This window comes from Homo sapiens, chromosome X, assembly GCF_000001405.40.
Source record: "Homo sapiens chromosome X, GRCh38.p14 Primary Assembly".
NCBI lineage: Eukaryota > Metazoa > Chordata > Mammalia > Primates > Hominidae > Homo > Homo sapiens.
The window spans coordinates 85,316,582-85,332,990 of record NC_000023.11 but is presented as its reverse complement, the minus strand read 5'-3'; the positions used below and the strand labels follow the sequence as shown (position 1 = coordinate 85,332,990).

The 16,409-nt window shown below is 37.9% G+C and overlaps 1 protein-coding gene across 3 annotated transcripts in view; it reads left to right on the top strand.

Moving 5' to 3' along the window:
• The window catches only part of POF1B (POF1B actin binding protein), a 102,270-nt gene that overhangs the window by 46,675 nt on the left and 39,186 nt on the right, over window positions 1-16,409 (top strand). For all 3 annotated transcript variants that reach the window (XM_005262203.5, NM_024921.4, NM_001307940.2), the window contains exon 7: window positions 1,912-2,042. In XM_005262203.5, the coding sequence (XP_005262260.1) occupies window positions 1,912-2,042 (131 nt within the window). The remainder of the gene's footprint in view (window positions 1-1,911; window positions 2,043-16,409) is intronic.

Genomic DNA, 16,409 nt, shown 5'->3' with positions numbered 1-16,409 from the left:
ATCTCTATATATGCACTACTTGTTAATTCTATGATATTTAAACATACTATGTGATGATATTGACTTTACAGGTTTACCCATCTACTCATGCCTTCACATATGAGAGTTTATTCTTTTTAAGAAATAATCATTATTTACTCAGGGAAGCAACTCCAAAGGGTACATGGACAAGATAACTAACATTGTGGTATATTCATCTAGACTGAACAAAAATGTGATGATACTACACTTTTTTTGTGTCTCACTTTTTTTAACTGACCAATATTTTATAAACTGATTTTTGTGTCACAAATGTAATTATGAAAACTTATCTTTGCTTACTTTGCAATTCTTCCATTTGCCTTAGAATGTACAGTTTTTTAAGGTCTGAATTCAGAGGAGAGGTTGAAAAGGAAGTATCAGTAGTCAAATTCAAATCCATTTACCATCTATATGCTTAAGAATAAATGTGTTTTTAGGGCACTTGGTTTTACATGCAATGTTGAAAGTAGTATGGAGTGTAACCTAAGTTATTATCCTCCAGGCAGTGCGTTTTGGGGATGGGAGCCACAGTGCCCAATAATATTGAAAAGATTGATACCCAAGAATAGGAAGCCAACAGAATGTGTCTTATTTAGGACACTGTTCATAGTAATTTGCGTCTAGGATTTCAAATGTCTCTGAAGTCTATGAGTTCTCTACAGTTGGCCCTGAGCTACTCTTTCCCATGTGAGATTGACTAAATATTGGCTTTAAATAATAAACGGGGGAAGTCAAACAAGAAATACGTTAAAACACATTGAATTGAGTAGGTTTATCTACCTTTAAGATATACTAACAAATCAGGCTGACTTTCACTTAGAATATGTGCGTCCAACTGGAAGTAATTCCTCTATAGTCAGTATAATTCAAAAATCAGTATGTCAAAGATATATCTGCACTTCCATGTTGATTGCAGCACTATTAACAATATCCAAGATATGAAATCAACCTAAGTGTCCATCAATGGATAAGTGGATAAAGAAAATATGGCATGTGTATACACAATGTACACAATGGAGTATATTCAGCCATAAAAAGGAATAAAATCCTGTCATTTGAGGCAACATTGATAAGCCTGGAGGACATTATGTAAACTGAAATAAGCAGAGCACAGAAAGATAAATATCACATGTTCTCACTTATATGGGGGAGCTAAATATATAAATATATTGATGTCATGCAAGTAGAAAGTAGAATAGTGGTAGCAAGAGGCTTAGAAGGGAGGGGGAAGAAAATATAGGAAGAGATTGGTTAACAAATCCAAAACTACCACTATGTAGAAAAAAATAAGTTCCAGTGTTCTATAACACTGTGGGGAGACTATAGCTAACAGAAATTTACTCTATATTTTCAAATATCTAGCAGAGAGGATTTTAAATGTTCTCACCATGAAGAAATGATTATTGTTTGAGGTGATGGATATGCTATTATCCTGATTTGATTATTACAGATTGTATGCAGGTATTGAAGTAGCACAGTAAAACTCATAAATATGTACTTTTATTATGTTTCAATTAATTTTTAATTTTAAAAATTAATAAAAAATATAATTCACATTTTCTTTTTCCACAGGAGACATATGAATAAGCCATGTGATTTAATTTACTCATTTTGCTGTTTTATTTAAGTGCCTATATTCAAGAATGTTTATGCTATGCAAATTTTGCTTTCATTTGAACACTTAGAATCGAGTGAAATGAAGTTGAAATTGCCATTGCAATGTTGATTTTTCTTTAAATTTCTCCCACATTAAAAAATGTATCCCTGAAAAAAATGGCTTGATTTATGTGATGACTTTAGTAGGTTATCTTTCTTTCGCTTCACATAAAAATATCTATGAACTTAGAAAAACTTAATATTGCTTACAATTGTGATTGATGTTTGCTTCAGGTGATAATTCAGGATGATGGCCCTGAAAAATTGGACCCCAGATATTTTGGAGAGTTGCTTGCTGATCTGAGCCGTAAGAATACGGATCTATATCACTGCTTATTAGAACATTTGCAGAGAATTGGAGGAAGGTACTGTAAACATATTATTTGCCTTGATGTTGTAGCTACCAAACATTTTACAACATTCTAGTACTTTAAAAATAGACTTCAGTTTTAGGTTCACAGCAAAAACTCTAGTACTTTCTATTTTATTTTTTTTAATTATACTTTAAGTTCTAGAGTACATGTGCACAACGTGCAGGTTTGTTACATATGTATACATGCGCCATGTTGGTGTGCTGCACCCATTAACTCGTCATTTACATTAGGTCTATCTCCTAATGCTATCCCTCCTCCCTCCCCCCAGGTAACAGGGCAGATATGAGCAAATGTCTCATTTTAAGAGTTAATGTAGATTATGAAAATCATCAGACAAAAAACAAAAAACACAAGCCCTTTTAGGATTAGTAAAGAATTCCATGTATCTTCCTTTGTGATGTACTTTCATGGCACAAGCAACATCTTGGGCAAGGAGCTCAAAAATGCATGGCATACTATAACTTGTTTTAAGATATTAAACTGATGATATTAGGTACCGTCCTACTGCCAACACACCACTGTTTGTCTTCCACTTATGTGATTTCAACATATGTAGGCCAGAGTTTAAAATATATTTGATATGTCACATATTATATATAAACTTTGTATATTATTATCTATTACATTAAATTAAAAATATACCAATAGATATAAACATAAACATAATTTTATATAACACAATATAAAATTATATAGATTTAAATAGATATTCATTAAAAATTTATCAACTGTTCATGTGTAGATGAGACCATATTTTGTCATGAAATGAATTCTATAAGCTACACCCCAAAAGGTGCCTTCTACTATATAATTACAGCATATCTGTGGCCATCTGTCAGGCAAAATCTAGGAAAGCTCCACAAATTCAAAATAATTTGGAAGATAAAGGAAAGTCAATAGAATATTTTCTAATTCAGACTTTTCACTAACTAGATTCTTCTAATTCTTAGATTTTAAATAATATATAATTTTATATAATATATAGGTTAATGTAAATGGGATGACACCATATATACTATTTTGTACGTTTTCTCACTCAAATATATATAGTATATATTTTTCCATGTCAATATTTTGGTGTCTGTAATGTATTCTCTCTTAATCTCTTGTATATCTTGTCTTTTCTCCATCTATTAGCTCCCTCCCACTTGATTTTTCTTGCTTTCATATTAATGACAACAACCATTATCTTACTGTCACCCTCAACTGCTTTGCCTCCTTATTGAACTGCCCTTCCCACTTAGCAAAACCCCAACTCTGGATTACTCTAACTCTCTGCCTTATTCTCTTTTTTTAAAAAAAAAAAAAACGACCACCACCTCCTTCATCCAACACCCACTATCTTTAGAATGCAGAGGGCTCCATGAGGGCTGCTTTATTTACCCTGATGTCCTTGGTGCATAGTGTGGTGGCTGGTTTACTGTGGTGCTCAATAGATAGTTGCTGAATGAACAAATGCCTTCATTACTGTTATGCCCATGGAGCTGATCACTGCTAGAGAAAAGCAGAGCCATTTATTTGAACCGGTGCCATTATAAATGCATGATTTCTATCTTCAACTTGGCCTTCATCATAGTTTTATCCTAATCAACACCATCTCCATTACCCATTACACAAACAAGTCTCCCTGTTTCCCATTACCCAAACAACTATTTCATCTCTTTACACATGTTCATTATTTTAAAATATTTCCCTTAATGTAATAATCAGCTATATGTTAAGCATCCACCATGTGCCAGGCATTATCTATATTACCTAATTTGCATGATAACCTTACAAACTTTCAGATGAAGACCCAAAGAAAATAAGTTATTAAGATCACACAGCTACTAAGTGCCTGAGATGGATTCAGACATTTTTGAGTACTGCTTTACCTATAATCTATGAACTTTTCTGCAAAGCCTTCCCTAAATCTTCAGTTTGTCCTAGGTGCTCTACTTCGGTGCATTAACCATGCCCTGTGAATATTTCTATCAAAGTATCACATTGTAAAATTCAGAAGTATATAGGACATAGTCTTAAGTACCCTTATTCTAGATCCAGAGTTCATATCCTGGGTTCATGTCACAGTTTTTTTTTTTGTTTGTTTGTTTTGTTTTTTTTTTTTACATACTAAATGTATAGTATCAGGCAAGTAAAAATACTTCTCTCATTCATTTGTTAAAGCAATAAATGAGTTAAGACATGTAGTTACAAGTGGCATCCGCATCATGTGAACATTTAGAAATAGACCTAAAGAATTAGAAATTCTGTGGGGAGGGCTCAGCAACACGCTCTTCAGAGGATTCTGATACATGATCAAGTTTGAGAACCACTAAACTAAAGTTGCAAAAGTGGCAAAATCTGGGACTAGAACCCACACTCTGAGAACCAATTTTCCTTAGGAAAATCACTTAACCTTTCAACACTAGATGTGTAATATCAGGCAAATTGTTTAAGATTTTGTAGTGGCTCACGCCTGTAATCCCAGCACTTTGGGAGGCCAAGGCGGGCGGATCCCGAGGTCAGGAGATTGAGACCATCCTGGCTAACATGGTGAAACCCCGTCTCTACTAAAAATACAAAAAATTAGCCGGGCCTAGTGGCGGGCGCCTGTAGTCCCAGCTACTCAGGAGGCTAAAGCAGGAGAATGACGTGAACCCGGGAGGCGGAGCTTGCAGTGAGCCGAGATCGCGCCACTGCACTCCAGTCTGGGCGACAGAGCCAGACTCCATCTCAAAAAATAAATAAATAAATAAATAAATAAATAAATAAATAAATAAATAAATAAAAAAGATATTGTATACAGGGAGTGTCACTCTGTTCCTTTTTCTGCCCAATGTAATTCTAGCCACCATCTTCCAGTGTTGAATAGAGATATACTCCACGCTGACCTTTCCACCTCCCTAATCTACTGTCTTTGTTTCCACGTTCTCCATCTCTCCCTCCCCTTTTGTATCCACTTTTCATATTCTTCCAAAATGCAATTCAGCAATTAGTGGGCTGCAAGGTAAAAATTAAGGAAGTTTGTCACATGAAACCATTCTGGTTACTTTTTAAAATTCTGATATTAAGTGCTATTTATTGTTCCTTGTTTTGTTTCTTTGTTTTGTTTTCTTATTTATAGAAAGAAAAGTGACTAGGGACATGTATACCAGGTTGGCATTTGAATTGGAAGAAGTAAGGATTAGTATCTTTTAAATGCAAAATGTCTATTAATACTATCATAATTCCAGTTAAGAGTAATGCAAAGCTACAAAAACTGCATTGTGATTCACATTTTTAACTTGCTTCAACTTTGCATCTATACATGTAGTTACTTTAGTAAAGCATTAAAAAACAAGAAGATATTTCTACTTTTGCTAGGCCCTCCCTATAAATTCTATTTTGGGCAACACAGGAAATACCACATAGATACATGCAGACAATTGCACGTATGTACTCATGCCTTGGAAAAGGGAACCTTCAGTTCTCTTTCTACTCACTAGTTCATATAGTTTTATAAGTGTGTGTAAGAGGTTTTGCACAGTAAGTGACCCTCTTGTCTCTGTAGGCAATGTATTACTCATAAGCAATTACAAAGAAGGTAGAGGTAGGAGTTAACACACTACAACTATTTTACTTTAAAATAAATATTATGGGGGCTGAAGAGGGAAGAATCTGGGAACCCTGAAAGGGGCTACCACACACTGGGGCTCCTTTCTAGGCCCCAACAACTCCTCGGGAAGGAGTGAGTTGAGCAAGTAAAGAGCAACCTGCACTTGCCCTGGGCCTCTGGAAACCTGCCAGCAGGAGACTCCACAACTCCCATGAACATGTGAGTTGGCAGGGAGAGATGCTTAGAGAAGTGGTAGGGGCAGAACTCCAGTCAGTGCGGAGCCCAGAGGGTTGGTGTGGGAGCCTCTGTGGTGGAGCATGGCCAAGGATGCCCATCCCTAGGACACTTTAGCCCTAGGGAAACTGTTGGACCTAAACGTTGCAGGGTAGTCTTGCCCATGAGAAGAGGCCAGAACACCCCTCAGTCTACTGCCTTCTCCCGCGGCCCCAGACTGGCTCTGCCTGCTTGTAGTGCAGCCTCAGATGCCCAGGTGGGGTGCCTCCTGGGAGCCCTCATTATACCTCCTCCACTGGCAGACAGTACTTGATCAGTGAAGAGCTCAAGTGGGAGGGGAAGCAGCCCCCGTGGGCATGCACCAGTCTGCCCGTGTCCTCCCCACAACAGCCTCCCTCGTGCCACTTTGCTTGCACGCACTCTCCCATGGCCACCCCCAACCCGTCACATCGTTTTGACAGTGCGTGTGTGCAGAAGGGCCTTGCCTCCCCTTTCCCACTAGCATGAATGTGCGCATGCATCTTCCTGTGCCACAGCTGCCAGCGTCCGTGCATCCCGCCCCCCAATCCCCTGCTGTGCCGCCATTGTCATCAGAGCATTCGCCGGCTCAGAGACCACTAGTCTAGCACCCACCAGCGCCCCGCACTTGCACTGACACTGCTGCCTGTGTGAAAATATGTGGGGAGACCAGTGGACCCGCCCCCACCCCCCAGCAGTAGCTGCCGCCTGTGTGAATCCGCACACAAAGGGCGCGCACAGTCCAGTGCTACCAGTGCCCCACCCCTGTGCTAACACCACTGCCGGGCAAACGCATGCAGGGACACTGGCGGAGCCTGATACCTCCCCCGCCACCACCATGCTGCCACCGCTGCCACTGTGAACACCACCACAGAGGCCGGCACGCCTGCACCTGCAATCTCCATGTTGCAGCCAATGAATGTGCACCCCACCATACTGCCACTGCTGTTGACATGTGCAAACGAGGGTGGATCACACTGCCACCACTCTACGGAGTATGGTGGCTGGCACCACCCATAGGAGTGTTGTGACCAGCGGTCCAGGAAGAATTCGGCCTCTCCAGTGTGGCAAGTTCCTAACATTCAGGGGCCACATATCAAAGCCTGGCCCAATACGACTCCCCAGAATTAGAGCATGCACTTCAGGAGTCCTTAGCTGAGTCTTGGCCCCCTAAAATCCTCCAGAAATGAAGCCAATCGACTGTACTCACCTTATACTACAACCAAACCTCCAAGGACACCAAACAGGATAAAAGAAAAAAAATAACCAACCAAAGGTCAGCAACTTCAAAGATTGAAGGAACATCAGCCCACAAAGATTAGAGATAACCAGTGCAAGAACTCTGGCAACTCAAAAAGCCAGAGTGCCTTCCTACCTCAAAAGGATTGCACTAGTGCCCCAGCAATGGTTCCTAACCAGGATGAGATGGCTGAAATGACAGAAATAGAATTCAGACTATGGATAGGAACAAAGATCATCGACATGAAGGAGAAAGTTGAAACCCAATCCAAGGAATTTAAGGATTACAATAAAACAATGCAGGAGCTGATAGACAAAATGGCTATTATAAGAAAGAACCAAACTGATTTAATAGAGCTGAAAAACACGCTATAAGAATTTCATAATGTAATTGCAAGTTTTAACAGCAGAATTGATAAAGGTGGGCAAAAAATCTCAGAGCTTGAAGACTGGCTCACCAAAATAACTCAGAGAAAAAGAACAAACAATAAAGAAGGATGAACAAAACATCTGAGAAATAAGGGATTTTGTAAAGAGACCCAATCTATGACTCCCGGGCATGCCTGAGAGACAGAAAAATGAAGCAACTTGGAAAACATATTTCAGGATCTCGTCCATGAAAATTGCCCCAACCTCACTAGAGAGGCCAATATTCAAATTCAGGAAATGCAGAGAACCCCTGCAAAATACTACACAAGAAGATCACCCAAGACACATCGTCATCAGATTCTCGAAATGAAAGAAAAAATGTAAAAGTCAACTAGACAGAAAGGGCAGGTCACCTACAAAGGGAATCTCATTGGGCCAGCAGCAGACCTGTCAGTAGAAATCCTACAAGCCAAAAGAGAATGGGGGCCTGTATTCAGCACTCTTAAAGAAAATAATTTTCAACCAAGAATTTCACATCTGGCCAAACTAAGCTTTACAAGCAAAGGAGAAATAAGATCCTTTTCAGAGAAGCAAATGCTTAGGGAATTTGGTACCACCAAACATACCTTACAAGAAGTCCTAAAGGAATTGCTAAATATGGAAAGGAAGACCTTTATTAAACACCATAAAAACACACAAGTACATAGGCCAGTGATACTATAAAGCAACCACATCAACAATTCTACATAATACTCAGCTAACAACATGATGACAGGATCAATACCAACCTTGAATACAAATGAGCTAAATGCCCCAATAAAAAGGCACAGGGTGGCAAGTTGGATAAAGAAGCAAAACTCAAAGGTATCCTATCTTCAAGAGACTCATGTGACATAAAATGACACCCATAGGCTCAAAATAAAGAGATGGAGAAAAATCGACCAAGCAAATGGAAAACAGAAAAAAAGCAGGGGTTATAACCCTAATTTCAGAAAAAAACAGATTTTAAACTAACAAAAATCAAATAAGACAAAGGGCATTACATAATGGTAAAGGGCTCAATTCAAGACCTAACAATCCTACATACATATGCACCCAACACAGGCACACCAAGATACATAAAGAAAGTTCATAGAGAGCTATGAAGAGATTTAGATAACAACACAATAACAGTGGGAGACTGCTACACTCCACTGAGAGTATTAGACATATCAGCAAGACAGAAAACTAACAAAGATATTCGGAACCTTAAATCAACACTTGACAAAATGGACCTAACAGATAGCTACAGAACTCTCCACCTCAAAACAACAGACTATACATTCTTCTCATCTGCACATGGCACATATTCCAAAATTGACCCAAAAATTGAGCATAAAGCAATCATCAGCAAATACAAAAAACATGAAATAACAACAACTACAATCTTGAACCACAGTGCAATAAAAATAGAAATTGATGCTAAGAAACTCACTCAAAACCATATAATTAAATGGAAATGAAACAACCTGCTCCTGAATGACTTCTGGGTAAATAATGAAATTAAGCCAGAAATCAAGAAATTCTTTGAAACGAATGACAACAAACATACAACATATCAGAACCTCTGGGATATAGACAAAGCAATGTTATAAGGGAAGTTTATAGTACTAACCTCCCATATCAAAAAGTTAGAAAGATCTCAAATTAACAACCCAAAACCACATCTAGAGGAACTATAGAAACAAGAGAAAACTAACCCCACAGACAGTAGAAGACAAGAAATAACCAAATTCAAGCTGAACTGAAGGAAATTGAGACATAAAAAACCATACAAAAGAGCAATGAATCCAGAAGGTGGCTCCTTGAAAGAATGAATGAGAAAGATAGACATTTTTTTTTATTTTTTTATTTTTTATTTTATTATTATTATACTTTAAGTTTTAGGGTACATGTGCACAATGTGCAGGTTAGTTACATATGTATACATGTGCCATGCTGGTGTGCTGCACCCATTAACTCGTCATTTAGCATTAGGTATATCTCCTAATGCTATCCCTCCCCCTTCCCCCCACCCCACAACAGTCCCCAGAGTGTGATGTTCCCCTTCCTGTGTCCGTGTGTTCTCATTGTTCAATTCCTACCTACCAGTGAGAACATGCGGTGCTTGGTTTTTTGTCCTTGTGATAGTTTACTGAGAATGATGATTTCCAATTTCATCCATGTCCCTACAAAAGACATGAACTCATCATTTTTTATGGCTGCATAGTATTCCACGGTGTATATGTGCCACATTTTCTTAATCCAATCTATCATTGTTGGACATTTGGCTTGGTTCCAAGCCTTTGCTATTGTGAATAGTGCCGCAATAAATGTACGTGTGCATGTGTCTTTATAGCAGCATGATTTATAGTCCTTTGGGTATACACCCAGTAATGGGATGGCTGGGTCAAGTGGTATTTCTAGTTCTAGATCCCGGAGGAATCGCCACACTGACTTCCACAATGGTTGAACTAGTTTACAGTCCCACCAACAGTGTAAAAGTGTTCCTATTTCTCCACATCCTCTCCAGCACCTGTTGTTTCCTGACTTTTTAATGATTGCCATTCTAACTGGTGTGAGATGGTATCTCATTGTGGTTTTGATTTGCATTTCTCTGATGGCCAGTGATGGTGAGCATTTTTTCATGTGTTTTGTGGCTGCATAAGTGTCTTCTTTTGAGAAGTGTCTGTTCATGTCCTTCGCCCACCTTTTGATGGGGTTGTTTGTTTTCTTCTTGTAAATTTGTTTGAGTTCATTGTAGATTCTGGATATTAGCCCTTTGTCAGATGAGTAGATTGCAAAAATTTTCTCCCATTCTGTAGGTTGCCTGTTCACTCTGATGGTGGTTTCCTTTGCTGTGCAGAAGCTCTTTAGTTTAATTAGATCCCATTTGTCAATTTTGGCTTTTGTTGCCATTGTTTTTGGTGTTTTAGACATGAAGTCCTTGCCCATGCCTAGGTCCTGAATGGTAATGCCTAGGTTTTCTTGTAGGGTTTTTATGGTTTTAGGTCTAATGTTTAAGTCTTTAATCTATCTTGAATTAATTTTTGTATAAGATGTAAGGAAGGGATCCAGTTTCAGCTTTCTACATATGACTAGCCAGTTTTCCCAGCACCATTTATTAAATAGGGAATCCTTTCCCCATTGCTTGTTTTTCTCAGGTTTGTCAAAGATCAGATAGTTGTAGATATGTGGCATTATTTCTGAGGGCTCTGTTCTGTTCCATTGATCTATATCTCTCTTTTGGTACCGGTACCATGCTGTTTTGGTTACTGTAGCCTTGTAGTATAGTTTGAAGTCAGGTAGCATGATACCTCCAGCCTTGTTCTTTTGGCTTAGGATTGACTTGGCGATGCGGGCTCTTTTTTGGTTCCCTATGAACTTTAAAGTAGTTTTTTCCAGTTCTGTGAAGAAAGTCATTGGTAGCTTGATGGGGATGGCATTGAATCTATAAATTACCTTGGGCAGTATGGCCATTTTCACGATATTGATTCTTCCTACCCATGAACATGGAATGTTCTTCCATTTGTTTGTATCCTCTTTTATTTCATTGAGCAGTGGTTTGTGGTTCTCCTTGAAGAGGTCCTTCACATCCCTTGTAAGTTGGATTCCTAGGTATTTTATTCTCTTTTAAGCAATTGTGAATGGGAGTTCACTCATGATTTGGCTCTCTGTTTGTCTGTTGTTGGTGTACAAGAATGCTTGTGATTTTTGTACATTGATTTTGTATCCTGAGACTTTGCTGAAGTTGCTTATCAGCTTAAGGAGATTTTGGGCTGAGACAGTGGGGTTTTCTAGATATACAATCATGTCGTCTGCAAACAGGGACAATTTGACTTCCTCTTTTCCTAATTGAATACCCTTTATTTCCTTCTCCTGCCTAATTGCCCTGGCCAGAACTTCCCACACTATGTTGAATAGGAGTAGTGAGAGAGGGCATCCCTGTCTTGTGCCAGTTTTCAAAGGGAATGCTTCCAGTTTTTGCCCATTCAGTATGATATTGGCTGTGGGTTTGTCATAGATAGCTCTTATTATTTTGAGATACGTCCCATCAATACCTAATTTATTGAGAGTGTTTAGCATGAAGTGTTGTTGAATTTTGTCAAAGGGCTTTTCTGCATCTATTGAGATAATCATGTGGTTTTGGTCTTTGGTTCTGTTTATATGCTGTATTACATTTATTGATTTCCATATATTGAACCAGCCTTGCATCCCAGGGATGAAGCCCACTTGATCATGGTGGATAAGCTTTTTGATGTGCTGCTGGATTCGGTTTGCCAGTATTTTATTGAGGATTTTTGCATTAATATTCATCAAGGATATTGGTCTAAAATTCTCTTTTTTGGTTGTGTCTCTTCCCGGCTTTGGTATCAGGATGATGTTGGCCTCATAAAATGAATTAGGGAAGATTCCCTCTTTTTCTATTGATTGGAATAGCTTCAGAAGGAATGGTACCAGCTCCTCCTTGTACCTCTGGTAGAATTCGGCTGTGAATCCATCTGGTCCTGGACTCTTTTTGGTTGGTAAGCTATTGATTATTGCCACAATTTCAGATCCTGTTATTGGTCTATTCAGAGATTCAACTTCTTCCTGGTTTAGTCTTGGGAGAGTGTATGTGTCGAGGAATTTATCCATTTCTTCTAGATTTTCTAGTTTATTTGTGTAGAGGTGTTTGTAATATTCTCTGATGGTAGTTTGTATTTCTGTGGGATTGGTGGCAATATCCCCTTTATCATTTTTTATTGTGTCTGTTTGATTCTTCTCTCTTTTCTTCTTTATTAGTCTTGCTAGCGGTCTATCAATTTTGCTGATCCTTTCAAAAAAATCAGCTCCTGGATTCATTAATTTTTGAAGGGTTTTTTGTGTCTCTATTTCCTTCAGTTCTGCTCTGATTTTAGTTATTTCTTGCCTTCTGCTAGCTTTTGAATGTGTTTGCTCTTGCTTTTTTAGTTCTTTTAATTGTGATGTTACGGTGTCAATTTTGGATCTTTCCTGCTTTCTCTTGTGGGCATTTAGTGCTATAAATTTCCCTCTACACACTGTTTTCAATGTGTCCCAGAGATTCTGGTATGTTGTGTCTTTGTTCTCGTTGGTTTCAAAGAACATCTTTATTTCTGCCTTCATTTCGTTATGTACCCAGTAGTCATTCAGGAGCAGGTTGTTCAGTTTCCATGTAGTTGTGCGGTTTTGAGTGAGTTTCTTAATCCTGAGTTCTAGTTTGATAAATAATAAAGAGGAAAAGTGAGAAGATACGAATAAATGCAATCAGAAATGAAAAGGGGATAGAAATACAAAAATCCCTCAGAGACTATTACAAACACCCTTATGCACACAAGGTAGAAAACCTAAAAGAAATACATTTCTGAAAACATACAACTTCTGAAGATGGAACCAGGAAGAGACTGAATCCCTGAACAGAACAATAATGAGTTCTGAAACTGAGTCAGTAATAAAGAGCCTAGCAAATAGAAAAAGCCCAAAACCAGATAGATGCATTCACAACGAAATTCTACCAAATGTATAAGGAAGAGTTGGTATCATTTCTGCTGAAACTCTTCTGAAAAAATAAGAAAGAGGTACTCCTTTCTAACTCATTCTATAAGACCAGCATCATCCTGATACCAAAACCTGGCATGGATGCAACAAAAAATAAAACTTAAGGCCAATATCCTTGATGAACATTGATGCAAAAATCCCCAATAAAATACTAGCAAACCAAATTAAGCAGCACATCGAAAAGCTAATCCACACCACAGTCAAGTAGGCTTTATTTCTGGGGGGCAAGATTGGTTTAACATATGCAAATCAATAAATGCTACTTACCATATGTACAGAACTGAAAACAAAAATCACATGATCACTCGATAGATACGGAAAAGGTTTTTTGATGAAATGTAAGATCCCTTTATGTTAAAAACTCTCAAGAAACTAGGAATTGGAGAAACATACTTCAGAATAATAAGAGCCATCTCTTACAAGCCCTTAGGCAACATCATACTAAATGGGCAAAAGATAGAAGCATTCTTCTTGAAACCGGAACAAGATAAGAATGCTCTCTCTCACCACTTCTATGCAACATAGCACTGGAAGTCCCAGCCAGAGCTATCTGGCAAGAGAAAGAAATAAAGGGCATTCAAGCAGGAAGAAAGGAAGTCAAACTATCCCTGTTTGCAGACAATATGATTCTATACCTAGAAAACTCCATAGTCTCTGCCCAAAAGCTCCTTGATTTGATACACCACTTAAACAAAGTTTTAGGATATGAAATCAATGTACAAAAATCAGCTACATTTCGATACACCAACAATATCCAAGCTGAGAGCCAAATCAGAAACACAATCCCATTCACAATTGCCACAAAAAGAGTAAAATACTTAGGAATACAGCTAACCCAGGAAGTAAAAGACCTTTACAATACGAATTAGAAAACACTGCTCAAAGAAATCAGAGACGACACCAACAAATGGAAAAACATCCCATGCTAATGGATAGGAATAATCAGTATTATCAAAATGGCAATACTGCCCAAAGCCATTTACAGATTCGATGCTATTCCTATCAAACTAGCAATGTCATTCTTCACAGAATTAAAGAAAACTATTTTGAAATTCATATGGAACCATAAAAGACTGGAATAGCAAGACAATCCTAAGCAAAAAGAACAAAGTGGAAGGCATAAAATTACCCAACTTAAAACTCTACTACAAGGCAACAATAACCAAAACAGCATGGTATTTCTACAAAAACAGACACACAGACCCATAGAACAGAATAGAGATCCCAGAAATAATGCCAAACACCTACAACTATCTGACCTTTGACAAAATCTACAAAAATAAGCAATGGGGAAAGGATTCCCTATTCAATAGATGGTGCTGGGATAACTGGTTAGCCATATGCAGAATATTGAAAGTGGAACCCTCCTTATACGATATACAAAAATTAACTCAAGTTGGATTAAAGTCTTAAACCTGAAACCAAAATCTATAAAAACTCTAGAAGATAACCTAGGAAATATCATTCTAGACATAAGACCTGACAAAGACTTCATGACAAAGATGCCAAAAGCAATTACAACAAAAACAAAAATGGACAAATGGGACCTAATTGAACTAAAGAACTTCTGCACAGCAAAATAAACTATCAACAGACTTAACAGACTTAAAAGACAATCTACAGAATAAGAGAAGAAAATATTTGCAAACTATACATCCAACACAGGTCTAATATCCAGAATCTACAAGGAATTTAAACATTTTTTTAAAGTTCGGGATTACAAGTACAGGCTTGTTACATAGGTAAACTTGTGTCATGGGGGTTTGTTGTACAGATTATTTCATCACCCAGGTATTAAGCTCAGTACCCATTAGTTATTTTTCCTGATCCTCTTCCTCCTCCCACCCTCTACCTTTTAATAGGCCCCAGTATGTGTTGTTCCCCCTCTATGTGTCCATATGTTCTCATCATTTAGCTCCCACTTGTAAGTGAGAACATGCAGTATTTGGTTTTCTGTTCCTGTGTTAGTTTGCTAAGAATCATGGCCTCCAGCTCCATCCATGTCCCTGCAAAGGGCATGATCTTGTTGTTTTTTATGGGTACGTAGTATTCCATGGTGTATATATACCACATTTTCTTTATCCAGTCTATCACTGACGGGCATTTAGGTTGATTCCATGTCTTTGCTATTGTGAATAGTGCTGCAATGAACTTACACAAGCATGTGTCTTTACAGTAGAATTATTTATATTCTTTTGGGTATATACACAGTAATGGGTTTGCTGGGTCAAATGGTATCTCTGTCTTTAGATCTTTGAAAAATTGCCACACTTCTTTTTGACAATTTACAAGCAAAAAACAAACAACCTCATTAAAAAGTGGGCAAATGACATGAACAGACACTTTTCAAAAGAAGACATAGATGTGGCTGACAAGCATATGAAAAAACCTCAACATCACTGAACATTAGAGAAATGCAAATCAAAACCACAATGAAATACCTTCTCACACCAGTCAGAATGGTTGTTATTAAAAAGTCAAAAAATGACAGATTCTGGTATGGTTGTGGAGAAAAGGTAATGCTTATGCACTGGTGGTGGGAATCTAAACTAGTTCAGCCATTGTGAAAAGCAGTTTGGCCAATTTGTCCAAGAACTTAAAACAGAATCAGCATTTGACCCAGCAATTCCATTGAATCAAATGCTGATTATGTTTTAAGTTCTTGGACTAATTGCCAAACTGTTTTCAACAATACCCAAAGGAATATAAATCATTCTACCATACAGACACTTGCACACCTATGTTCATTGCAGCACTATTCACAATAGCAACGACATGGAATGAACCTAAATGCCCACTGATGATAGACTGGATAAAGGAAATGTGGTACATCTACACCATGGAATAGTATATAGCCATATAAAAGAATGAGATCATGTTCTTTGCAGGGACATGGACGGAGCTGGAGGCTGTTATTCTTAGCAAACTAATGTAGGAACAGAAAGCCAAATACTGCATGTTATTACTTATAAGTGGGAGCTAAACATTGAGTACATATAGACACAAAGAAGGGAACAACAGACTCTGGGGCCTACTTGAGGGTGGAGGGTGGGAGGAGGATGAGGATCAAAAAACTACCTATTGGTTACTGTGCTTATTACCTCATTGATGAAATCATTTGTACACCAAACCACCACAAAATGCAATTTACCTATATAACAAACCTGTACATGTACCCCTCAACCTAAAATAAAAGTTAAAAAAAATGAATAGACAAATCAATCTTGGAATGTTTTCATGATAAAGTCAAGTTAATTACTTTAAATAAAATAAATATTCTGTCTTGCTGTCAGAACCCATGTTTACTGTTTTTTCTTCATTTGTTTGTTTGAGAAGTATGTTTA